Source organism: Homo sapiens, chromosome 19, assembly GCF_000001405.40.
Source record: "Homo sapiens chromosome 19, GRCh38.p14 Primary Assembly".
NCBI classification, from domain to species: Eukaryota; Metazoa; Chordata; class Mammalia; order Primates; family Hominidae; genus Homo; species Homo sapiens.
The window spans coordinates 15,381,022-15,407,364 of record NC_000019.10 but is presented as its reverse complement, the minus strand read 5'-3'; the positions used below and the strand labels follow the sequence as shown (position 1 = coordinate 15,407,364).

The 26,343-nt window shown below is 49.3% G+C and overlaps 1 protein-coding gene across 3 annotated transcripts in view; it reads left to right on the top strand.

Moving 5' to 3' along the window:
• Nucleotides 1-26,343, top strand: part of AKAP8L (A-kinase anchoring protein 8 like) — a 38,939-nt gene that overhangs the window by 11,624 nt on the left and 972 nt on the right. The window contains exons 3-14 of one of the 3 annotated variants that reach the window (NR_111971.2): nucleotides 3,323-3,355; nucleotides 3,650-3,707; nucleotides 3,810-3,890; nucleotides 5,762-6,215; nucleotides 6,322-6,418; nucleotides 6,501-6,571; nucleotides 7,007-7,070; nucleotides 7,955-8,063; nucleotides 8,599-8,735; nucleotides 9,510-9,651; nucleotides 9,740-9,845; nucleotides 10,085-10,215. Coding sequence is in view for 2 of the 3 variants with exons in the window: in NM_014371.4 (NP_055186.3) it covers nucleotides 3,323-3,355; nucleotides 3,650-3,890; nucleotides 5,762-6,215; nucleotides 6,322-6,418; nucleotides 6,501-6,571; nucleotides 7,007-7,070; nucleotides 7,955-8,063; nucleotides 9,510-9,651; nucleotides 9,740-9,845; nucleotides 10,085-10,215 (1,448 nt within the window). In the remaining variant the exon portion in view is untranslated. Of the gene's footprint in view, nucleotides 1-3,322; nucleotides 3,356-3,649; nucleotides 3,891-5,761; nucleotides 6,216-6,321; nucleotides 6,419-6,500; nucleotides 6,572-7,006; nucleotides 7,071-7,954; nucleotides 8,064-8,598; nucleotides 8,736-9,509; nucleotides 9,652-9,739; nucleotides 9,846-10,084; nucleotides 10,216-26,343 lie in introns of all 3 variants that reach the window. The other 2 variants (NM_001291478.2, NM_014371.4) reach the window with 2 other exon arrangements.

The window sequence follows — 26,343 nt, the reverse complement described above, 5'->3', positions numbered from 1 at the left end:
TCCTACCATATTAATGTTTAATTTTTATCAGCTTACTGATTTTGTGTAGTTTAATAATTTATAGGTGGATAGAATTGTGGGTACTGCTCTTATTTTATTTTATTTTTTTAAGATATGATCTCACTCTGTCCCCCAGGCTGGAGCACAGTGGCACAATTTCAGCTCACTGCAACCTCCACCTCCTGGGCACAGATAGCCCTCCCACCTCAGCCTCCTGCATAATTGGGACTACAGGCATGCCCTACCATGCCCAGCTATTTTTTGTATTTTTTCTAGAGATGGGGTTTTGCTATGTTGCCCAGGCTGGTCTCAAACTCCTGGGCTCAAGCGATCTGCCTGCCCCACTTCCCAAAAGGATTACAGGTGTGAGCCACTGCGCCTGGCTGGTCCTGCTTTATTTTATGTTAGAAGCATTTCCTTGTGCCACATAAGGCATAGTAAATTCTTTTTATATGCTTACATGATATGTCACCGAGTAGGTAGGTGTAATCTGATTAACTATTACGTTAAAGTTGAGTGTTAAATTGTTTTCTATTTTTGGTCCATAAATATCACATACTGTGACCATGTCCTTTTTTCTTTTAAAAATTATGTCCTTGGGGCCAGGTGCAGTGGCTCATGCCTATAATCTCAGCACTCTGAGAGGCTGAGATGGGAGGCTTGAGCCCCCAGGAGTTTGAGACCAGCCTGGGCAACATAGTAAAACCCTATCTCTACAAAAATAGAAAAAATTAGCTGGGCATGGTGGCACATGCCTGTTGTCCCAGCCACTCCGGAGGCTGAGGCAGAAGAGTCACTTGAACCCAAGAAGTCGAGGATGCAGTGAGCTGTGATCACACCATTACACTCCAGCCTGGAGGACAGAGCAAGACTCTATCTCAAAAATATATATGTACATATATCTTATTTTTACATATATATGTATATATTTAATAATAATAAATATATAAATTTTAAGGATCTCTCTCTCTCTCTCTCTCTCTCTCTCTCTCTCTCTCTCTCCTTAAAATTTCTTTTGTCAACCATGATCTCATCCCTTCTGGGGATGGAAATGAGTTGGGGTGTTCTTTCAGAAAGGGCAGGTCTTGGGGAGTCCCTAAACGCCAGTCTAGATGAAGGCTTCCTCCTGAAGGGACCCAGCTGGGATGTCCATCAAGGAGTCTGGGTTGCTCCAGGCATAGCAAGTGGCATGTAGTGAGTGTTTGCCTGGAGGGACTCCTGAGAGTTGCCCATCGTGGGAGGCCCTGCTTGTCCTTAAAACGTAAAGTGGTGTTCACGGAGTTGATGCTGCTTCCTTTCGTTGTGCCTCCTCACTCTGTTGTGGCAGATCCTCAGCAGGTGAAGCTTGCAGTGACCACATTGTAGCCTCCCAAGCAGAGCCCTGATGGATCTGCTTTTGCCTCCATATCCTATTTTCTTTTTCTTTTCTTTCTTTTTTTTTTTGAGACAGAGTCTCGCTCGGTCGCCTAGCCTGTAGTGCAGTGGTGCAATCTTGGCTCGCTGCAACCTCCACCTCCCAGGTTCAAGTGATTCTCCTGCCTCAGCCTCCCAAGCATCTGAGACCATAGACGCGCACCACCACACCTGGCTAATTTTTGTATTTTTAGTAGAGATGAGGTTTCACCATATTGGCCAGGCTGGTCTCGAACTCCTGACCTCGTAATCCACCCACCTTGGCCTCCCAAAGTTCTGGGATTACAGGCATGAGCCACCACGCCCAACTCCTATTTTCTTTAGAATAGCTAGTGCCCACTGTCCCTGGTACAAACAGTCACTTGGCCAGGTGTACAGTAGCTGCCTGGGCTACCTGTGTGTTGTTCTATTTTTTTTTTTTTGAAATGGAGTTTCACCGTGTCGCCCAGGCTGGAGTGCAGTGGCGCGATCTCACCTCACTGCAAACTCTGCCGCCTGGGTTCAAGCAACTGTGCCTCAGCCTCCTGAGTAGCTGGGACTACAGGTGTGCACCACCACGCCTGGCTAATTTTGTATTTTTGGTAGAGAAGGGGTTTCACCATGTTGGCCAGGCTGGTTTCAAACTCCTGACCTCAGGTGATCCGCCCGCCTCGACCTCCCGAAGTGCTGGGATTACAGGCGTGAGCCACTGCACCCAGCCTTGTGTGTTTTTCTTTATGTGGCTCTGCCAGCCTCTCTTGCCTCTTAGAATGGCTCCATTCTTTCCTCAGCTACCACTCCTGACTTACCCATGCTGCTCTCTGGCTGTTAGCATCTCTCTTACCAACAGGCAGATCTCCATGCCTGAGCAGTGCCTGGGACTGCAAGCCTCTGTTCCCTGTGCTCAGGGGATACATAAACAAATGGATGAGAAGCCTGTTTTGGTTTCTCCAGCCCAAGAGTTTTTGTTTTGTGAGCTCTCTTGTTAAACATAGTGGTCATCAGCAGTTCCTCAGCTTCTCTCTGATTTCTTCCCATTCTTTTTGTGCACTGGGTCGTGGAGGAACCCAAGTGCAGGACGACAGCCTGCCTGTTCTCTCTGGCTCATCTTTTCAGTTGACTTACACTCTTCCTGCTGTGGTCTGGCTTCTGCCACTTATTGCCCTGCTGTCTGTCTCACTGAGCTTCGGTCCCCTGCCCTGGGATGAGCATGTCCTCTGCGGGGCAGAGATGACATGGAATGGGAAACAACTGTTGGGTCTCACCAGAGACCCAGGGAAAGGGGTCACCTGCTCTGTGCCCTCCTTTGGGGAGGAACTGTGTGTTTGACTCAGAGTTCCCAGGGGACTTTACACTTTGTCACTTCTCAGTGGCTTTATGTTACTGAAGGAATGAGGTTTTATCATGTGTTGTGATTGAATCCAGAGCATATTAAGTTGATAATCCAGATTGTTCTCTCCACAGCTTTTCTCAAGCGAGGGGTTGCTTCTTGGGCTTCTCTCACTGATGTGTTCCAGCACAGCACAGTCAACAATTCAAGGGCTTGTTGGCCCTCCCTTTTAAGGCAGACTCTTGGGAGACTGGGGTTGGGTTTTCTGCTATAAACTGATTAGCACTTAGCTTGGGGTGTGGAGGTCACCTTCTAATTCTGGCTCTTAAAGGGAGGAGTATAGGAGCCAAGTTCCTTAGTTGAGAGTGTTGGGAACAGAAGGATCCTTAAATAACAGATGCTCAGAGCCACAGGCAGCCAGGCACCAGGGCAGCAAGTGGCCTGGGTCATTTGCGCAGTGCTCGCGAGCTCAAGGCTTCTCGGTTAGGGGAGGTGCAGCCTGCTCTGACCAGTCAGGTCCTGGGAATAATTGTCTGCGCCTGAATTATGGCCTTGTATTGTAAGCAAGTATAGATGTAACTGCCCTTTTACTTTTTGTAGGATATGGAACTTGGAACTCTGGGACAAATAGAGGCAAGTGTCATTCCTGTGATTGCTGTCCTGTCCCTTGGGGTTGTCCTGGCTGTGTTTCTCTGCCACTGCCCTGCTTGGCCAAGGTTGGGAGTGGGGAGGGGGCATGTTTCTGGGGTTACCTACTCCTTAACAGGAGGCCCTCATCAGAATGACCAGGGCCCATCTAGCTTCAGTGGCTAGGGTCTTCTCTCTCTGTGACAGAAGATACCCTTGTATCTGTGTTTGTCTCTGTCTCTGTCTGCCTCCCCTCTGCCTGCCCCCACCATCTGTCTGTCTCTGTCTCCCTCACTGCAGGCTACGAGGGCTATGGCTATGGCTATGGCTATGGCCAGGATAACACCACCAACTATGGGTATGGTATGGCCACTTCACACTCTTGGGAAATGCCTAGCTCTGACACAAATGCAAACACTAGTGCCTCGGGTAGCGCCAGTGCCGATTCCGTTTTATCCAGAATTAACCAGCGCTTAGATATGGTGCCGCATTTGGAGACAGACATGATGCAAGGAGGCGTGTACGGCTCAGGTGGAGAAAGGTGAGTGGACACCTGCCTAGGGGTTGAGACTCTGCAGGGGCGGCTCCTGCCTGCTGCCCACTGCGTTTTCCTCTCTGAGTGCCCCTCTGTGTCTGCTTCCTCCCCGCTGCTTGGTGCTGCTGTGGCTCCCAGCAGGGTCCGTTGCACTTCCCGTCTCTGACTTGTGTCTCCTCTCACCCACCCTCAACCCCTGCCGCACTGCCTGGTGGTCAGCCTTTCCCAGCTTGCGGTGAGAGGAACAAGCCCAGACTGGGCAGACTTCACTGTGCCCTCAAAAACAGAGTGTTCAGCCACCCCTCCCTCCAAGGACAGCCATTTGGAATTCTCTCGAGACTTTGCCTCCTGCGTGGTGTCAGGGCAGGACAGATGGAGTTTGGTGTGAAGGGTGGGACGAGCGTTTGGGGCTGATCACTGCGAGCTGGGCCACCCCCACGTAAGGGTCGGGGCAGGTGTGGGCATTTCCTGGTTACTCTCCTGTGCCTTACAAACATGTACCTGATGGAAGCACTCCTGTGAGGAACTGCTGCTGTCCTCATTTTGCAGGTGGGGATACAGAAGTGCAGGCAGGTCATACCCTGAAGGCACGCAGCAAGTACTTGGTGGGGCTGGGCCTCGCCTACCAGATCTGCCCTACTCCAAAGCATCATGCTGTGGGCATTTGTTATTAACTGAACTGGACTTGGCCCAGGAGTGCTTATGCCCAGTGCGAGGCTTTGGTGAGGAGCGTGGGTGTATCTCTAACATGGGATAGAGTGGAGCACCAGCTAACAGATGAGTGAGAGCCAAGAGTAAGGAGTTGCCTGGCTGAGCACTGATAGGGCCAAGGGAGGCCCCAGGGCTGTGGTGGCAGGGTGTGGAACAGGCACAAGGGGATTTGATGCCATGGGCTCTGTAACTCCTGGCCCAACAGCTGCAGCACTCAGAGCTGAGGGCTTGGCATGTGAGGCTTGGCCTTGCGTTGCTGCTATGCACCTTCTTACCACAGCCTGGAGCCTGGGATCGGGGTAAGCAGAGCAGCGGCAGCACCAACTGCTGCTCTTAGAGCTGCCGGTGCCTCTTGGTGGCCCAGGTTTAGGGAAGAGTGTGCAAGGGGAGCCCCTGTGCCTGTGAGGTGTGTGGGGTCCAGGCCTGTAGGGGTGTGGGCTGCGGGCTGCAGTCACGGTTAAAAGAGCTCTCTGCGGTGCCCTCTGTGTCCTGGGAGGAGGTCTGGCCTGCCTTCCCAGTTGCAATACAGGGTATATAGAGTTTGGTGTCTGGCTCTGGGCTCCAGGGTTGATGTAATACAGCTCTTTTTCTTGTCCCTGGGCAAGCTCTCAGTGTCTTCCCTGGGAAATACTCCCCCTTTTGTCTCAGTTGTTTTGGTAATGAGGGACTTTGCAGAGTTTGAAGGTTCCCCAGCCATGAGGGACAAGAACAGTGTTTCCCATGGGTATCATCAGCCTCACTGGCTGCGCATTCATTGTGCTGGACCTGCCTGCATCCTGCAGGGTGCTGGGGTGCTCAGCCTTGCCCTGTGAGGAGCAGCCTTGGGCGTTGCAGCTCCCACAGATGGTGTACATGTTCCCAAAGGGCTGTGGAGCAGCTCTGCCCCTTGTTGAGACTCACTGGACTAGAGCCTCCACCCCAGTTATCAGTCCTTCAGTCCTTCTTAGGGTCCCCAAGCCAGTGTGTGGCTACATTCAAGTTTGGGGCAGTGGTGCCCCTATATCAGCTGAGAGGCTGGAACTCTTTAATCGGCATTTCTGAACATTGAGCCTCCCAACCAGGGCAGGGTGGGTGCTGGACTGGGAGATTGGGGAGGGCAGGAGCAGTTGCCTGGAGGTGAGGGATCCTGAGGGGCTCCACCTGATGCTCACCCCATGCCTCTGCAGGTATGACTCTTATGAGTCCTGCGACTCGAGGGCCGTCCTGAGTGAGCGCGACCTGTACCGGTCAGGCTATGACTACAGCGAGCTTGACCCTGAGATGGAAATGGCCTATGAGGGCCAATACGATGCCTACCGCGACCAGTTCCGCATGCGTGGCAACGACACCTTCGGTCCCAGGGCACAGGGCTGGGCCCGGGATGCCCGGAGCGGCCGGCCAATGGCCTCAGGCTATGGGCGCATGTGGGAAGACCCCATGGGGGCCCGGGGCCAGTGCATGTCTGGTGCCTCTCGGCTGCCCTCCCTCTTCTCCCAGAACATCATCCCCGAGTACGGCATGTTCCAGGGCATGCGAGGTGGGGGCGCCTTCCCGGGCGGCTCCCGCTTTGGTTTCGGGTTTGGCAATGGCATGAAGCAGATGAGGCGGACCTGGAAGACCTGGACCACAGCCGACTTCCGAGTGAGTGGAGGCAGCCTTCCCCTCTGGGAAGCTTAGTTCCCACTGGGGCGGAGCTAAGGGCCGGGTGCCATGCACCCTGACACGGCTTCCCCCCCTTATGACCCAGACCAAGAAGAAGAAGAGAAAGCAGGGCGGCAGTCCTGATGAGCCAGATAGCAAAGCCACCCGCACGGACTGCTCGGACAACAGCGACTCAGACAATGGTGAGCCCACTAGGTGGTACTGGGCGGCTGCCCCCTGCCTCTGGGAACTCCTGGGTTGAGCTTACCTCCTTTTCCCTTTCAGATGAGGGCACCGAGGGGGAAGCCACAGAGGGCCTTGAAGGCACCGAGGCTGTGGAGAAGGGCTCCAGAGTGGTAAGTGGCTCTGGCTGGGCATTTTCTGTCTGCAGGCAGGGCGAGCTGGCCTAAAGAGTGGTGCTCTCCCTGGGGGCCAGAGGCAATGCTGTGTCAGCTCTGCGTGCATGGTGACCAGCATGGGGAGGCAGTGTGGTCTGGCAGAAAGCACAGGCTGCCTAGCTGGAGGCACAGTTTCCTTGTTGGAAAATGGGATGAGCCCCTGTGCACCAGGTAGTGGGAGGATGTGAGGTTTCTGGCACATAGCCGGGCCTTGTCATTTAAAGCCATTGTAAATAACTGGGCTACTCTGGGCCACCCTGCCTATAGGATAGCCCTGCTCTGTCTATGGAGCAAGCAGCTGTTTTACTATATACCGTTGCTCTAATAAACTTGGTTTCTTTTAAAAAAAAAAAAAAAGGCACCTGTTTTAAAGTTGGAATTTGAAATTGTTAGGACGGAGAGGATGAGGAGGGAAAAGAGGATGGGAGAGAAGAAGGCAAAGAGGATCCAGAGAAGGGTGAGTTTTCCTGGGGTGCCTGGTGCTAGGGCGGCTCTTCCAGGGGCTCACAGTGGGAGGGACCCAGCTGAGGGCAGGGTTGCGGCAGACATGCGGCCAGTTGGGGACCTCCCTTGTGGGCCCGAGTGTGTGCTGGCAGGGGGCTTTCTTTTCGCCGCCTCCACCCCCTTCCCACTCTTCCTCCTCCTTCCCAGGCGGAGGCTGTGGATGGTGGTGACCCCTGCCTAGCACACTGGTTTTGCCTTCAGATGGGGGCAGCTAGTAAAAGTGTGGGGAACCCCAGGCACGCCCCCTGCCCTCGGTCCCTCAGTAACGCGCAGTTCCAAGTCCTCAGTGGCTGGTGTCCGATCTGGGACCCTCGGTGCAGTTTTTACGGCTCTGGTGTGCGTATCCTCTCCCTTAGCACCTCTCCAGCCCCTGTTGGGATTCCGTGTCCCCCCACCTGAGTGATGAGCGCCAGCAGGTACCTAACAGCAAATCCAGCGTCAGCCCACTGTTGCCGCGGTGCCCGGTTGGGGGTGGGCAGGGCCATGTGAGCAGCCTCCCTGCATCCCACCACCTGGCCCCTCTGAACATGTGCCAGTGTCCCCACAAAGATACCCCCTCTTTGCTTTCCAGCCTCCTCCTGGCCCACTGCACAGAGAGCATGGGTGTCCTGGAGAGTGGAGGGGTCATCGCCTGGCCCCCACTCCTTGGGGCCTAGGCCAAACCCACTCCCTGCACAGCCCAGGATACCCAGCCCTGCTCATGGCCAGAGGCCTTGCTTGGACAGCTATTCTCGATGGACCCTCTGGAGTGGACAGTGGGTGATTCAGCCAGAGGCCGCAGGGCCTGCCCTGTCCTGGCAGAGCCAAATTGGTGACAGTGCCCATCTGCTCCCACAGGGGCCCTAACCACCCAGGATGAAAATGGCCAGACCAAGCGCAAGTTGCAGGCAGGCAAGAAGAGTCAGGACAAGCAGAAAAAGCGGCAGCGAGACCGCATGGTGGAAAGGTAACCAGCTTCCCTCCACCCCTCTGCCTCTGCCTCGCTGTGGGGCTGCCGCCAGGAGAGCAGGGCCATAGCTCTGCCAGCTCGCCGCCCTCTGGCCTCCCTTGGGAGCCGCCACCTGCTCGGCCGTGCATGGACCCTGCTTCCCGCCAGGCCCAGCTCCCAAGGCCTGACTCATCCCCTGCCCCTCTGCGGCCGCCTGGCGACCGCTGGCGTCTGTGGGCCGAGACCTGACACCGCTCGGCACCGTTGCTCAGAAGCTCTGGCGCTAGGTCACTCGGCGCACGAACCCCAAGGTGCACTGGGGGCCTGATGCCCCTGAGGGAGGGGGCCAGCTCATCAGAGACTCAAGGTCCAAGGCGCCTGTGCCGCCCCAGCTAGCTGCCAAGAGGCCACCGCCGTGCCCAGGAGAGATGGCAGCACCTGTGGGCTGTGGCAGCCTCGGGCCTGCCTTCTGCCCTGCCCGCCGGCCCTGTCAGGCCGGGCCTGTCTGCGGCTGAGCCCTTCACGCCCCTTGGTCGGGTCTGTCTGCCCTCAGGGCTCCCGCACTGGCGCTTGCCTCCTCCGCCTCAGACTCTTGCTCTTGCTGGACCTTCCTCAGCCTCGCCGGCGCCCGGCCCCTGGGCTCTCCAGACAAAGCTGACCCCGTGGCCCAGATAAGGACGTCCGGCAGAGGTAGGGACCCGCCCCGAGGTCTCGGTGGCGGCTGGCCTCCTCCGCCCCTTGCCACGGCGGCCTGCTCCGGCCCAGGCCCCAGACCCCGGGCTTCTACTGTGGACACCAGGCCCAGACAGAGCACCTCGCCCAGGTGACTCCAGGCTGCCCTCTGGCAGGCCGAGCGGGCGCCCTCCTTCCAGCTCAGACTGGTCTCTTCTTGGAAGAGGAAGATGAGGCAGCAGGTGCCCAGGCCTGCTGCCTCCCATCCCTCCCGACACCACCCCCAAGCATTCTGAGCAGAGGATGGGCTGGGCCTTTGAGTCCCCCAGATCCCAGAAGGAAGATGCAGCACCTTTTCGGGCCCTGCCTCGGGACTGCGTACTCCACTCTGCACCTCAGGGCCACCTGGCTCACGCCAGGGCATCCTTCCTTCCGGTCCCCACCTGGGCCAAGTGCACACGCTCCTGCCCAGCCTTGGTAGCGAGGCCCTCCAGCAACTTTCCAGCGACTCGTTGCCTGTTGCAGCAGCTGCTGTCTCAGGCTTCAGCCTCCTGCCTGTGGGAAGGAAGAGCTCCTCCCCTGTCCCCTACGTTGCAGTAACTGCAGCCTGCAGACTTTCTGGCCCTTTCTACTCCCGACCCCACTGGTCCCAGCCTGTCCCTCTGCTGGGACCGTACTTCAGAGGCCCGTGAGCAAGGCCTGTTTCAGGGCTTGTGTCTGGGTTGGGTGAGGCGGCAGCACTATCCCCTGGGACACTTGCAGCCTCAGCCCCTCGTTTCCTTCCTGTGGCAGGATCCAGTTTGTGTGTTCTCTGTGCAAATACCGGACCTTCTATGAGGACGAGATGGCCAGCCATCTTGACAGCAAGTTCCACAAGGAACACTTTAAGTACGTAGGCACCAAGCTCCCTAAGCAGACGGCTGACTTTCTGCAGGTGAGCCTTGGAGTAACACAGCCGCTCTTAGTTTCTTGGACCCCTGAGAACATAAGGCGGCCCACATGAACCTTTATATTCCTTGCAGGAGTACGTCACTAACAAGACCAAGAAGACAGAGGAGCTCCGAAAAACCGTGGAGGACCTTGATGGCCTCATCCAGCAAATCTACAGAGACCAGGATCTGACCCAGGGTGAGGAGATTTTCAGCCCACTCCCACCAGGCAAGGCCTCAGCCTGCACTCCTGATTTTCGGTGCAGGGTCAGGACACCCTTCTGTTCCCCCAGGGAAGGTCAGGAGACCAGCCTTGGCTCAGGCCCAGGTGGAAGTGGCAGGGCGAGTTGAGGAGGAGCTGGTGTGGTTTTTTTCTCGAACACCTGGGTCTATCTTAGGCACCTGGGCCCAGTGGTGACTCCCTCCTCCCCACTACAGAAATTGCCATGGAGCATTTTGTGAAGAAGGTGGAGGCAGCCCATTGTGCAGCCTGCGACCTCTTCATTCCCATGCAGTTTGGGATCATCCAGAAGCATCTGAAGACCATGGATCACAACCGGAACCGCAGGGTGAGTGGCCACAGTGCTCTCCCTCTGTCCTGTGGGTAGATTGAGTGAGGCCTCTGGGGAGGTTGTGCAGTTGGAACCTCTGCCAGCCCGTGAGGGACTGCAGTGGAGGCAGGAGGAGGTGGATATGGACATTTCCAGCTCAGTGCAGGCAGCACAGCTACAGAGAGAGGGGTGAGAGATGGGGACTCTGCCTGGGAGAAGGTGATATATTCTGTGGGATATGGGGACCTCCATGTTCATAGGGGCCAGCGCCAGATTAGGTTCAGAAACCAAATGGAGATGATACAGTGCAAGTGTTGCTGGAGGAGGGGGTTGGGCTTGAGGCTCAGGAGAGCTGCACTGAGAGGCCTGGGCTTGTTCCTGTAGGCAGTTAAGTTTCAAGTGTGGGATTAACAGGTTAGAGTTGGTGTTGAACTAGAGACTTCAGGCCTGCACCTGGGTGGGGTGGTGGGGGCCAAGGAGGAGCTCCTGCAGTCTCCAGACAAGAGGAGACCCCACCTTGGGAGTGAAGGGGAGAAGAGCAGTTGAAGGAAGGGAGCCGGGGGCTGGCATGTGGGAGTGATCAGAAGCCTGGGGTGACTCTGGTTTCTGACTTGGGGAACTGGGAGGACAGCGGTGCTGCCAAGATTGTCAGGGAGCAGGGAGCAGTAGGGAAGTGTGTTGTGCGGCATGGAGAACATAAGGCAAGAGAATGAGCAAATTCTGTCTCATTTTCCAGTGTTGCTCCAGTGCCTAGCATGGAAGCCAGAGTAGGTGTTTTTTTGATTGAATGGATGACATGCTGTGTTGCAGGTGGGGGTGAAGGGGCTGTGTATGGGCAGAGAGCAAAGAGGCCCAGGACCAGGTCTGGGCCAAAGAGGGGCTTGGCTGTCTTCACCCTGGAGGAGGGTGGTGGGGTTTATGAACAGATGTTCGCATCCAAGGTGAGCATGGGAAGCAGCATTTCTCCATCTTCTTCCATGCTCATCACAATTCCTCTCTGGTCTTTTTCGGTGTGATGATTCTGAACGGTGGACAGGGTCAGGGGTCTCTCTGGTTGCAGAGACTCAGGATTGGGAAATGCCACCAAGAGTTCTGGGAAGAAAAGGAAAATGTCAGTTGGCTTTGGCAACAGAGAAGCTTTAGGGAACTTGCCAAAAACAGATTCTTTTTTTTTTTTTTTTTTTGAGACGGAGTCTCGCTCTGTCGCCCAGGCTGGAGTGCAGTGGCGCGATCTCGGCTCACTGCAAGCTCCGCCTCCCGGGTTCACGCCATTCTCCTGCCTCAGCCTCCCGAGTAGCTGGGACTACAGGCGCCCGCTACCACGCCCGGCTAATTTTTTGTATTTTTAGTAGAGACGGGGTTTCACCGTGTTAGCCAGGATGGTCTCGATCTCCTGACCTCGTGATCCGCCCGCCTCGGCCTCCCAAAGTGCTGGGATTACAGGCGTGAGCCACCGCGCCCGGCCTAAAAACAGATTCTTATGCTAGGAACTAGTAGGGGTTAGAAGACTGCAGAGGGTGGAAACTATATGTCATTAATGAAAGTTGGAAAATCTGGCTGGGCGTGGTGGCTCACGCGTGTAATCCCAGCACTTTGGGAGGCTAAGGTGGGCAGATGACGAGGTCAAGAGATGGAGACCTTCCTGGCCAACGTGGTGAAACGCTGTCTGTACTAAAAATACAAAAATTAGCTGGGCGTGATGGCGGGCACTGTAATCCCAGCTACTCGGGAGGCCAAGGCAGAAGAATCGCTTGAACCCAGGAGGCAGAGGTGGCAGTGAGCCGAGATTGCGCCACTCGCAGAGCAATCTGCGAGACTCATCTCAAAAACAAAACAAAACAAAACAAAAAAACCAAAACAATGGGCACGGCACTTTGGGAGGACAAGGTGGGCGGATCACGAGGTCAGGAGATTGAGACCATCCTGGCTAACATGGTGAAACCCGTCTCTACTAAAAATACAAAAACAAAATTAGCCAGGCGTGGTGGCAGGTGCATGTAGTCCCAGCTACTCAGGAGGCTGAGGTGGGAGAATGGCGTGAACCCAGGAGGCAGAGCTTGCAGTAAGCCAAGATCGTGCCACTGCACTTCAGCCTGGGCGACAGAGCGAGACTCTGTCTCAAAAAAAAAAAAGTTGGAAAATACGGGAGAGGTGATAGCAAAATATAAACTCAAACTTGATCCTAAAAGAAGTTAAAAAAAAAAAAAAGAACAAGCCATAGCAGCTGGTAACCGTAGAGAGGTTTGGAAGGATGATGAAAGATATTTAGAAGGCACCAGAAGTCATTGGTTTACAGAGATAATTTGAATACAGTCTAAATACTGTATTTTTTAGAATTCTAGACTGTAGAGATTAATGGAAAGCTTCTAATTATTGTTATCTTTGGTAACAGCTTTACTGAGATAGAATCACATACTGTACAATTCACGCATTTAAAGTATACAATTCAGTAGTCTTTGGGCTGGGCGTGGTGGCTCATGCCTGCAATCCCAGCACTTTGGGAAGCCAAGGTGGGAGGATCGCTTGAGGCTAGGAGTTCAAGGTTACAGTAAGTTATGATTGCACCACCACAGTCCAGACTGGGCAACAGAGCAAGACCCTGTCTCTAAAAAAACCAAACAAATGAAAAAAAAAACCAATTCATTGGTTTTTCACGTATTCACAGAATTCTGCAGTCATCAACCAGTCGATTACAGAATATTTTCATCACCTTAAAAAGAAACCCTTTAGCTATCAGCCCCCCCAACCTCTTGTCCTCCTCCAGCCTTAGGCAGCTACTAATCTATCTCTCTCTATTTGCTTATTCTAGACACTTCATATAAACAGAATCACATAATATGTGGTCTTCTGTGATTGGCTTCTTTCACTAAGCATGATGTTTTTGGGGTCCAGCCACATTGTAGCATGTATCAGAACTTCATTCCTTCATATGGCTTCATATTATTCCATTGTGTAGATAGATGTGGCACATTTTGTTTATTTATCTTTTTGGGTGTTTGGGTTGTTTTCACCTTTTGGCTATTATGAATAATGCTCTTAGAAACATTATTGTGCAAGTTTTTATGTGGACATATGTTTTCATTTTTCTTGAGTATATGACTAGGACTGGAATGTCTTGATCAAATAATAACACTTTAACTTGTGAGACTATTTTCCAAAGTGACTGTGCACCATTTTACATTTCCACCAGCAACATATAAGGGTCCTGATTTCTTCACATACTCACCAACACTTAGTTTCTGACTTTTTTTTTTTTTTTTTTTTGAGACAGAGATTCGCTCTTCTTGCCCAGGCTGGAGTGCAATGGCGCGATCTCGGCTCACCACAACCTCTGCCTCCCGGGTCCAAGCAATTCTCCTAGCTGGGATTACAGGCATGTGCCACCACGCCTGGCTAATTTTGTATTTTTAGTAGAGACGGGGTTTCTCCATGTTGGTCAGTCTGATCGCGAACTCCCGACCTCAGGTGATCCCCCTGTCTTGGCCTCCTAAAGTGGTGGGATTACAGGCATGAGCCACCGCGCCCGGCATTTTCTGACTTTTTGATCTAGTCATCCTAGTGGGTGGGAAGTAGTATCTCATTGTGGTTTTGATTTGCGTAGCCCTGATAACTGACTAATGGCATCTTTTCATGGGCTGGTTGGCCATTTTTGTATCTTTGGAGAAATGTCTATTCAAGTTCTTTGTGCATTTTTTAATTGTGTTGTCTTTTGTAGAGTTCTTTTTGTAAAGTCCCATATTTGATATGAGTTACAAATATTTTCACCCATTCTGTGGGTTTTTTCACCTTCTTGATGTGTCCTTTGTAGCACAATAGTTTTAATTTTTATAAAGTCCAATTTTCTTTTATTGCTTATGCTTTGGGTGTCATAACTAAGAATCTATTGATAAATCCAAGGTCACGAAGATTTACCCCTGTGTTTTCTTCTAAGAATTTTATGGTTTTAGCTTTTGCAGTTAGGTCTTTGTTCCATTTGAGTTAATTTATTTATATCGTATGAGGTAAGGTTCTAACTTTATTTTTTGCATCTAGATATTAAGTTGTTCCGGCACCATTTGAAAAAGAAATGAAAGAGACTGTTTTCCCCCCATTGAATGATCTTGGCATCTTTGTTGAAAGTCAGTTGACCATAGCTATTAAGTCTTCTAATCCATGAATATGGGATGTCTTTTCATTTACTGAGATCTAGTAAATGAATTAATTTCTTTCAAAGGTTTTGTAGTTTTCAGGGTGTAAGCTTTGTTCTTTATTGTTAAGATTTTTTTTTTTTTGAGACAGAGTTTTGCTCTTGTTGCCCAGGCTGGAATGCAGTGGTGCCATCTTGGCTCACTGCAACCTCCGCCTCCTGGGTTCAGGCAATTCTCCTGTCTCAGCCTCCTGAGTAGCTGGGATTACAGGCACGCACCACCACGCCCAGCTAATTTTTTGTATTTTTGGTAGACAGGGTTTCACCATGTTGGCGAGGCTGGTCTTGAACTCCTGACCTTGGGGGATCCACCCACCTCAGCCTCCCAAAGTGCTGGGATTACAGGCATGAGCCACCAGGCCCGGCCTGTTAAGATTATTTATAAGTATTTTATTCTTTCTGTTACTATTATGAATGGAATTGTTTTCTTGATATTTTTGGATTTTTTTTGCATGTGTATAAAAATACTTTTTTTTTTTATTCTTGAAATAGGGTCTCACTCTGTTGCCTAGGCTGGAGTGCAGTGGCACCATCATGACTCACTACAGCCTCCAACCTCCTGGGCTCAGGTAATCCTCCCACCTCAGCCTCCCAAGTAGCTGGGACTACAGGCATGTGCCACTATGCCCAGCTAATTTTTGTATTTTTTGTAGAGACAGGGTTTCACCATGTTGCCCAGGCTGGTCTCAAACTCCTGGGCTCAAGCAGTCCTCCTGCCTCAGCTTCCCAAAGTGCTGGGATTATAGGCATGAGCCACTGTGCTCAGCCAATATATTGATATTATACCCTACAACCTCACTGAACTATTTGTTTTTAATATTTCATAATTTTAATAATATTTCAGCTATGGCTAGGCATTATAGCTCATACCTGTAATCCAAACACTTTAGGAGGTGAAGGTGGGAGGATTGCTTCAGTCCAAGAGTTTGAGACCAGCATGGGCAACATAGTGAGACCCTGTCTGTATAAAAGAAACAAGTTAGCCAGGTGTGGCGGCAAGTGCCTGTAGTCCCCGCTACGCAGGAGGCTGAGGTAAGAGGATGGCTTGAGCCTATGAGGTTGAGGTTGCAGTGAGCTATGATCCTACCATGCACTCCAGCATGAGTGACAGAGCAAGACCCTGTCTCTAAAAAATAAAAACATAAGGCTGGGCGCAGTGGCTCATGCCTGTAATCCCAACACTTTGGGAGGCTGAGGCGGGAGATCACGAGGTCAGGAGATCCAGACCATCCTGGCTAACATGGTGAAACCCCGTCTCTACTAAAAATACAAAAAATTAGCCAGGTGTGGTGGCGGGCACCTGTAGTCCCAGCTACTTGGGAGGCTGAGGCAGGAGAATGGCGTGAACCCGGGAGGCGGAGGTTGCAGTGAGCTGAGATCGCACCACTGCACTGTGCCTGGGAGACACAGCGAGATTCCATCTCAAAAAATAAATAAATAAAATAAAATAAAAATAAAAACATAAAATAATGTTTATTAGTTCTAATAGTTTTTAGTGGATTTTTTTTTTTTTTTTTTTTTTTTGAGACAGAGTCTCACTCTGTCGCCCTGGCTGGAGTGCAGTGGTGCAATCTCGGCTCACTGCAACCTCCACCTCCCAGGTTCACGCCATTCTCCTGCCTCAGCCTCCCAAGTAGCTGGGACTACAGGTGCCCGCCACCACGCGCAGCTAATTTTTTGTATTTTTAGTAGAGATGGGGTTTCACCATGTTAGCTAGGATGGTCTCAATCTCCTGCTCATGATCCACCCGCCTCGGCCTCCCAAAGTGCTGGGATTACAGGCATGAGCCACCGTGCCCAACCTAGTTTTTAGTGGATTTCTTAGGGGTTTCTTTGTACAACATCAGTCATCTGCAAATAGAGTTAGTTTTACTTCTCCTTTCCAATCTAGATGCACTTTATTTCTTTTTCTTACCTAATTGCCCTGGTTAGAACCTCCAATACAGTATTGAATAGAAGTGGTGAGAATGGATGTCCTCATCTTTCTGATCTTACAGGGAAAGCACCAGTCTTTACCATTAAGTGTGATGTCAGCTGTGGGTTTTTCATAGGTGCCCTTGATTGAGTTGAAGACGTTCCCTTCTAGTCCTGTTAAGTGTTTTATCTTAAAATGGTGTTGGACTTTGTCAAATGCTTTTTCTGCCTCTGTTGAGGTGATCATGTGGCTTTTGTCTTTAATTGTGTTGTTACAGTATGTTAGATTATTTTATTTGGATATAAAACACCCTTGTGTCCCTGGGATATATCCTGCTTGGTCATAGTGTGTAATTATGTTTATATATTAGATTGGTTTTGCTGCTATTTTGTTGAGAATTTTTGCATCTATATTCATAAAAGATAATAGTCTGTAGTGTTTTGGTGATATATTTGTCTGGTTTGGGTATCAGGTTAATTAATACTGGCCTCATACAGTTGTCATTTTTCTTCCTTTTCTGGTTTCTTGGAAGAGTTTGTGAAGAACTAGTATATACTAGTATTAATTCTTCAAGTGCTTCGTAGAATTTGCTTATGAAGCCATCTAGGCCTGGCTTTTGTTAACTAGATTTTTTTTTTTTTTTTTTTTGAGACAGGGTCTCACTCTGTCGCCTAGGCTGGAGTGCAACGGTGTGATCTCGGCTCACTGCAACCTCCACCTCTCAGGCTCAGGCGATCCTCACACCTCAGCCTCCCAAATAGCAGGGACTAAAGGCATGTGTGACATCATGCCCGGCTAGTTTTGGTAGTTTTTTGTAGAGACGGGGTTTTGTCATGTTACCCAGGCTGGTATCAAATTTCTGGACTCAAGCGATCTGCCTGCCTTGGCCTCCCAAAGTGCTGGGATTATAGGCATGAGCCACTGTGCCCAGCCTGTTAACTAGTTTTTTTTTATTATTATTAATAATTCAGTCTCCACTTGTTATAGGGTATATTCAGATAGTCTGGGGTTTTTTTTTAAGTCATTTTTAGTAATTTGTGTCTGTCTACAGAGTTCCCTTTTTTGATTAAAAAAAAATAAATAGAGACAGGGTCTTGCCACTACAGGCATGAGCCACCGTGCCCCGCTGAGAAGTCGGCTTTAACCTAATATTGGGGTTTCCTTGTGATGATTTGTTTTGTCTTGCTGCTTTCAAGATTTTTCCCCTGTCTTTGACTCTTGGCACCTTCATTATGTCTTTGTGCATCTCTCTGTGTTTATTCTACGTGGAGTTTGTTGGGCTGGTTTTTTGTTTCTTGAGACGGAGTCTTGGTCTGTGGCCAGGCTGGAGTGCAATGGCACAATCTCAGCTCACTGCAACCTCCGCCTCCCAGGTTCAAGTGATTCCCCTGCCTCTACCTTCTGAGTAGCTGGGATTACAGGTGCACACCACCATGCCCGGCTAATTTTTTGTATTTTAGTAGAGATGGGGTTTCACCATCTTGGCCAGGATGGTCTCGATCTCCTGACCTCGTGATCTGCCCGCCTCGGCCTCCCAAAGTGCTGGGATTACAGGCGTGAGCCACCACGCCCGGCCTGAGCTGCTTTGATGTATAGATTACAGGTTTCATCAACCTTCCAAAGCTTTCAGCCATTGTTTCTTCAAGTATTTTGTTTTCCTACTCCTTTCTCTCTTTCCTCTTCTAATGCTCATTACCCGTATGTTGGATCACTTAATAGTGTGCCATGGTTGTCTGAGACTGTTCATTTTACCTCATTTTTTTCCCTCTGTTCTGCAGATTGTATAATCTCTTTTGATACACAAGTTCACTAATTCTTTTTTTTTTTTTTTCTTTTTTTTTTGTGATGGAGTCTCGCTCTGTTGCCTAGGCTGGAGTGCAGTGGCGCCATCTCTGCACACTGCAAGCTCCGCCTCCTGGGTTCATGCCATTCTCCTGCCTCAGCCTCCCAAGTAGCTGGGGACTATAGGCGCCCACCACCACGCCCGGCTAATTTTTTGTATTTTTTTTTTTTTTTAGTAGAGATGGGGTTTCACCGTGTTAGCCAAGATGGTCTCCATCTCTTGACCTTGTGATCCGCCTGCCTCGGCCTCCCTAAGTGCTGGGATTATAGGCGTGAGCCACCGAGCTCGGCCAAGTTCACTCTTTTTTAGAGATGGAGTCTAGCTCTGTCGCCCAGGCTGGAGTGCAGTGGCGCGATCTCGGCTCACTGCAAGCTCCGCCTCCCAGGTTCATGCCATTCTCCTGCCTCAGCCTCCGGAGTAGCTGGGACTACAGGCGCCCGCCACCACGCCCGGCTAATTTTTTTGTATTTTTAGTAGAGACGGGGTTTCACCATGTTAGCCAGGATGGTCTCGATCTCCTGACCTCATGATCTGCCCGCCTCGGCCTCCCAAAGTGCTGGGATTACAGGCGTGAGCCACCGCACCCGGCCCAAGTTCACTAATTCTTAAGTTCAAATCTGTTGAGTCCTTCAAATGGATTTTTGGTGTCCGTTATTGTACTTTTCAGCTCTAAGATTTACCATTTTATTATTATCATTTCTATCTCTGTGTTTAAATTGTTTCATGAGACAGTGTCATTATACCTTCTTCTACTTGAGTTTTCTTTAAACCTATTTACAATTGCTACTTTAAAATGTTTGTTGAATTTGACATCTGTTCACTGTCACAGGAAGTTTCTATTGTCTGCTTTTTCATCTGTGCCTGGGTCAGAGTTTCCTTTGGATGTCTCATAATTTTTCACTGTTAACTAGACATCTTAGATAATTTGTTGTGGCAACTCTGGGCACTGATCCCCCACCCACCCTCCCAGGGTCTTGTTACTGTATTTGCTTGTCTATTTGTTTAGTGACTTGCTAGATTTTTTTAGTTAGGTCTCTTTCATTCTCACACAGTATGAAACTGGTGGTGTGTCTTGGAGGGAGGAAGCCATGGGCTCGCTCTTTTTCCCAGACCATACTCAGCTGTTAAACTCTACCAATTGCTGGCTGATTGCTTTATTGTTTTCAACAATGTTTTGGGGCATAGATTGCTGCCCAATCTGATCCAATTAAATTTGGGCTCCTTTATAGGGATTTTTTTCCCCTCCCCTCCCCGCCCCCTCTCCCAGACAAGAGTCTTGCTCTGTTGCCCAGGCTGGAATGCAGTGGCGCGATCTTGGCTTGCTGCAACCTCCACCTCTCAGGTTCAAGCAATTCTCCTGCCTCAGCCTCCCGAGTAGCTGGGATTACAGGCATGTGCTACCACGCCCGGCTAATTTTTGTATTGTTAGTAGAGACGGGGTTTCACCATGTTGGCCAGGCTGGTCTCGAACTCTTGATCTTATGAGCCACCCACCTCAGCCTCACAAGGTGCTGGGATTACAGGCGTCAGCCACTATGCCAGGCCCAAGAGGGATGGTTTTTGAGGTGGTTGTTTGAGATTTATTCTGAACCCAGGGAGTCTGTTCTTAGCTATTTCACTGGTCCTTGTCCTCTTTGGTAACCTAGTTAGCCTATGGGTTAGCTAATATCACTGTCAAATCTACCGGTCCTTCTTTTTTATGGCTGTGTGGTGGGGGAAAAAAAAAAGGACAAAGCTATCAGTGTTTAACTCCAATAAATATTCAGAAAGAAAAAAAAAAGCTATCAATGTCCTTTTAATTTTTTTCCTCCCTAGTCTCCATTGTTTTTGAGAGAGGCCCTAGTCTTGCACTTCCCAACACTCTTGCCAGTGAAGTCAGTCAGTTCCTTTGAGATTGGGAGTTTACTGATTTAAGGCCGTGCTCTCACTGTGGGCAGAATCTCTGAGCCAAGGCTCTGGGGATGGAGACAATGGAGTACCTCTCTCTGAGTGACTCTGCCACTTTAGGAGAGACATGGGAGGAGGTACAGTAGGCTGTAGCCTCCGGTCTTGGTTTGCCTTTCCTGGCATGGGACCTCTGCTTTATGAACAAGCCATGGGTATGTGAGCCCTTATATTCTTAGTGTGCCATGCCCAGGGTCAAGCCTCCATTCCACGTGCGTGTGGCTGGGTAGAAGATAGGAACCGTTCTCTCTCAGCTATGCTTGTCTAGAACTTAGCCTCATCAGCAGGTAGCTGGGGGCGGGATGAGAGATACTGACATCCGGCTGGGTACAGTGGCTCACGCCTGTAATCCCAGCACTTTGGGAGGCCAAGGTGGGCAGATCACCTGAGGTCAGGAGTTCAAGACCAGCCTGGACAACATCGTGAAACCCCATCTTTACTAAAAATACAAAAATTAGCCGGGCTTGGTGGCGGGCACTTGTAATCCCAGCTACTCGGAAGGCTGAGGCAGGAGAATTGTTTGAACCCGGGAAGTAGAGGTTGCAGTGAGCCGATATCACGCCATTGCACTCCAGCCTGGGCAACCAAGAGTGAAACTCCAACTCAGAAAAATAGATGCTGACATTCTGTTCCTCCTGGGAAGATATCATACCCCTTAACTGAGATGATCTGGGTAGATGCGGGCAGACCTGTCTTCTTGGCTGTACTGTCTGGAGTGGAGTTTCCATCACACTAAGCTGGGGGAGGCAGGGATGCAATAGGTTGTGTTTCAGACATCACAACTCTTCATGGAACTGAGTTTTAGTAGCTTTTCCTCATTAAATCTTTCTCATAGGGCTGTATGTCCTTAGGAACATTTTCAGAGACTTTAAATGGTTGTTTTTTAATACTTTTCATCAGTTTCACTAGGGAGTGTTCCAGGGAACGCCTCAGACTGCTATGCTAGAGTCTGTCCTCTCAATATTTAGGAAGCTTCTTAAACCTTAATTCCAAAATTCTGATAAAGATGATACCAAAATGAAACTGTAGATTAGTTTACTATTATTAAAGATATGAAAGTGGGCTGGATTGGCCGGGCGCGGTGGCTCATGCCTGTAATCCCAGCACTTTGGGAGGCCGAGGCAGGCGGATCACGAGGTCAGGAGATCAAGACCATCCTGGCTAACACGGTGAAACCCCATCTCTACTAAAAATACAAAAAATTAGCCGGGCGTAGTGACGGGCGCCTGTAGTCCCAGCTACTCGAGAGGCTGAGGCAGGAGAATGGTGTGAACCCAGGAGGCGGAGGTTGCAGTGAGCCGAGATCGCGCCACTGCACTCCAGCCTGGGCAACAGAGTGAGACTCCTCAAAAAAAAAAAAAGAAAAAAAAGAAAGAAAGTTGGCTGGATATAGTGGCTTATACCTGTAATCCCAGCACTTGGGGAGACTGAGGTGGGAGGATCATTTGAGCCCAGGAGTTCAAGACCAGCCTGGGCAATATAGTGAGACACTGTGTCTATAAAATTAAAAATAAAAAAATTAGCCAGGTACTGGGGCCTGTGGTCCCAGCTACTTGGGAGGCTGAGGTGGGAGGATCACCTGAGCCCAGGAGGTTGAGGCTGCAATGAGCTGTGATCGTGCCACTGCATTCCAGCCGGGGCAACAGAGCAAGACTCTGTCTCAAAAAAATAAATAAAATGAAGTGCTAAATAAAATATTAGTAACTATCAATCTAGTAGTGATCCCTATGTATGATACATTATAAGTAAGGTTTGTTTCTGGAATGGAGGGATGGTTCCCTAAGAAATCTAGCAACAGTTGCCGGGCGCGGTGGCTCATGCCTGTAATCCCAGCACTTTGGGAGGCCGAGGTGGGTGGATCACGAGGTCAGGAGATCGAGACCATCCTGGCTAACACGGTGAAACCCCATCTCTACTAAAAATACAAAAAATTAGCCAGACGTGGTGGCGGGCGCCTGTAGTCCCAGCTACTCGGGAGGCTGAGGCAAGAGAATGGCATGAAAGGCCGGGCGCGGTGGCTCACGCCTGTAGTCCCAGCACTTTGGGAGGCCGAGGCGGGCGGATCACGAGGTCAGGAGATCGAGACCATCCCGGCTAAAACGGTGAAACCCCGTCTCTACTAAAAACACAAAAAATTAGCCGGGCGTGGTGGTGGGCGCCTGTAGTCCCAGCTACTTGGGAGGCTGAGGCAGGAGAATGGCGTGAACTCGGGAGGCGGAGCTTGCAGTGAGCCGAGATCCCGCCACTGCACTCCAGCCTGGGCAACAGAGCGAGACTCCGTCTCAAAAAAAAAAAAAAAGAGAATGGCATGAACCTGGGAGGCGGAGCTCGCAGTGAGCTGATATCGCGCCACTGCACTCCAGCCTGGGCGACAAAGCGAGACTCCGTCTCAAAAACAAAAACAAAAAATCTAGCAATATTATTGGTATAATGCAAACTCTCTTTATGTGCAAATAATGTGATTATGCTCTTAGAAAAGCTGAATGATCCCAGCAAAATGTTCTTAGAATTAATAGAATTTGGTAAGGGGATGGGATTCAAAATAGCGTACAAAAAGTCGTAGTGTTTCTCTATTCTAGTATTAACCAGTTAGAAATTTAAATGGAAAAAAAACTACTTAAAATAACCACACAATGTATGAAATAGCTAAGAATACAGATTTAAGAAGAAAGACTTGAGGGCCAGGCATGGTGGCTCATGCCTGTAATCCCAGCACTTTGGGGAGGCTGAGGCGGGTGGATTGCCTGAGGTCAGGAGTTTGAGACCAGCCTGGCCAACATAATGAAACCCTGTCTCTACTAAAATACAAAAAATTAGCTGGGCGTGGTGGTGGGCGCCTGTAATCTCAGCTACTCAGGGGGCTGAGGCAGGAGAATCGCTTGAACCTGGGAGGCGGAGGTTGCAGTGAGCCAAGATCGCGCCATTGCACTCCAGCCTGGGCAACAAGAGCAAAACTCCGTCTCAAAAAAAAAAAAAACAGGGAGGGAAGAAGAAAGGCTTGAGATCTTTTAAGAACTGCAAATACTCCAAGGATATGAAATAAGACCTTAGCCGGGCACGGTGGCTCACGCCTATAATCCCAGCACTTTGGGAGGCGGAGGCAGGTGAATCACTAGGTCAGGAGTTCAAGACCAGCCTGGCCAAGATGGTGAAACCCTGTCTCTACTAAAAATACAAAAAATTAGCCGGGTGGGGTGGTGGGTGCCTATAATCTCAGCTACTTGGGAGGCTGAAGCAGAGAATTGCTTGAACCTTGGAGGTGGAGGTTGCAGTGAGCTGAGATCATGCCACTGCATTTCAGCCTGAGCAACAGAGCAAGACTCCATCTCAAAAAAAAAAAAAAAAAAAAAAAGAAATAGACCTTAATGAATGGAGGAATGTTCTGTGTTCTTAAATAGGCAATTTAATAGTGAAACAAAACAAAAACCAGTTCTCTCCAAATTAATATAGACAGCACATTTCTAGTCAAAAATATCAGTCGGGGAGTAGGACTGAATGAAATGAAATTATTTTAAAGTTTTACATTGTAAAATTCAGTCTAACAATAGCTGAGAGATTGATTTCAGAAATACTAAAACTTACTACAAAGCTGCTGCAATTAAAAAACAAAAAAAGTGATAATTAGCACAGTAATGAAACAGTGGAACCAGAATAGAGAGTCTAGCAAAAGATCTCAGTATATTTCAGACTTAGTAATTTGTTAAAGTTAGTACAGATATTTTATCTGAAACCTTAGGGCCAGAAGCCTCAGAATTAATTTTTCAGCTTCAGAAAACCAATATGCAAGGCTGGGGGCAGTGGCTCACACCTGCAATCCCAGCACTTTGGGAGGCTTAGGTGGGATTGCTTGAGCCCAGGAGTTCCTGACCATAGTGAGATCTCGTCTCTACAAAAAATAAAAAATTAGCCAAGCATGGTGGTGAGTGCCTATAGTCCCAGCTACTCAAGAGGCTAGCATGGGAAGATCACTTGAGCCCAGGAGTTTGAGGCTGCAGTGAGCCGTGATCACACAATGGCAGTGCAGCCTGGGCAACAGAGTGAGACTCCTATCTCTAAAATAAAATAAAAAGAAAGACAATATGGTATTAGCACTAACCTCTCCAACAGGATCTGGGGAAAGCGCCTTGTAGTTGAGTCACAAATAATTCTTCACATGACTTACATATAAATGAAAAATGTAATGTCAGTTCACATTTAGCCACCAAATGAATTTTGGGGGAAGACTTGTTTTCTAGAGCCTTTTGGATTTCCAGTTTATAGATAAGGGATGGTAGACCTATATGCCAATTTGGTAGGGAAATAAATGGTGTGTTTTGTACATTTCTGGAAAAGAAAATTTTGGACCCTCTACCTCATAACATATACAGATTGAGTTCATCCGTCATCTGAAAATCCGAAATGCTCCGAAATCCAAAACCTTTTTCTTTAAGAAAAAAGAATTGAGTCTTGCCATGTTGTGCAGGATGGAGTGCAGTGGCTGGTCGCAAGTGAAATCATTGCACACTATAGCCTTGAACTCCTGAACTTGAGCAATCCTCCTGCATCAGCCTCATGAGAGTAGCTGAGACTACAGGCACGAGACACTGTGCCCAGTAAAATCTGACTTTTTCAGCACAGACATGACAAAGTAAATGCTCATTGAAGCATTTCAGATTTTGGGTTTTTGGAGTAGGGATGCTCAACTGGTAAGTATAATGCAAATCAAAATCTGAAAGACTTCTGGTCATAAGCACTTTGAATAAGGGATACTCAATCTGTATCAAATTCTAGAAAATTTGGCTGGGCGTGGTGGCTCACGCCTGTAATCACAGCACTTTGGGAAGCCGAGATGGGTGGAGGTCCTGAGCTCAGGAGCTCAAGACCAGTCTGGGCAACATAGGAAAACCCTGTATCTACTAAAAATACAAAAAAGTAGCTGGGTGTGGTGGTGCGTGCCCGTAGTCCTAGCTACTCAGGAGGCTGAGGCATGAGAATTGCCTAAACCTGGGAGGCGGAGGTTGCAGTGAACTGAGAGCCCCTGCACTCCAGCCTGGGCGACAGAGCGAGACTGTCTTAAAAAAAAAAAAAAAAAATTTAAATGTGAAAAATGAAAACCAAGATCAGAAAATAGTTAGAAAATTATAAACTGTGGGCGGGTGTTCCAGTGTGCTTACCAGAGCACTCACTCGCCGGTGGGCAGGGAAATGCCGTGGGAGGCAGCAGCACAGATTCTTCTGTCTTTTATCCACAGCAAAAATACCCAACAGTGACAACATCCAGTGCTGATGGGCAGGCAGGAGGACCAGGTCATTGTTTTAACACAGGTGGAAGAAGCATGACTTGCAAATGTTCTGCAGTTAATTGGGCACTATCACTTTGAAACCAAACCTGGTTAGAATGAAAAGCACCAGCATGGAAGTGTACAAGTTTATTCTAGTGTTGCTGGGTTATTGTGGAGAAGATCTGGAAGCAACATAAATGTGCCTCACTTGGGAGAATTTATGGTGTGGTTATCTGGGCATCTAGAACCAGGAGGATAAACTGTTGGCAAGTGAGAGTCACTGGGGGAACGGTCTATAGTAGTATCCTAATTGTGTATCTTTAGTTTATTGTGAGCATGTATGATGTCTGTTAATATTTTCCTCCAGTAGTAGAGAAAACGTGCTAAGGAAAAAAAAAAATGAAGATGGAGAGAGTAGAAACAGCAAGTGAGAAGGCTTTCTGAAACATGTAAATGGAGTGGGAAGGACTCAATGGGCTCTCCCACCCCACCAAAAATATCCTTCTTTTACCTTATGGTTTTTATAATGATCAAAGTGAGATTTGCCTGTACTCCCACCATGAGATGGCCCAGCATATTGATGGAAATCCTTCCAGACAAAATGGCTCTGGCATGCTCTGCAGACAGTACTATATTATACACCTTTCTTATGCCAGTGCAGAGATGAGCCCGATTTGAAGGGCTGCATGATGTTCTTTTGAATGTACGATTTATTTAACCTCTTCTGCACTGAGGAACGTTTAGGTGTTTTCCCATTTTTCACCACTACAATCAGTGTGCACGCATGTTTCCAGTTCTTAAATTTAGGATACGTTCTGGGAAGGGATTAATGAGACAGATTTTTACTTTTCATACATTGTGTCAAACTGCTTTCCAAAAAATACGGAAACAGTTGATCCTCCCACCAGCAGAGAAGACTCTCTTCACCCTTGCATGACTGGGAATAATTCTTCATTCTTGGAATTCTGTGGGTTAAAAAAGACGTTTCATTAAATATC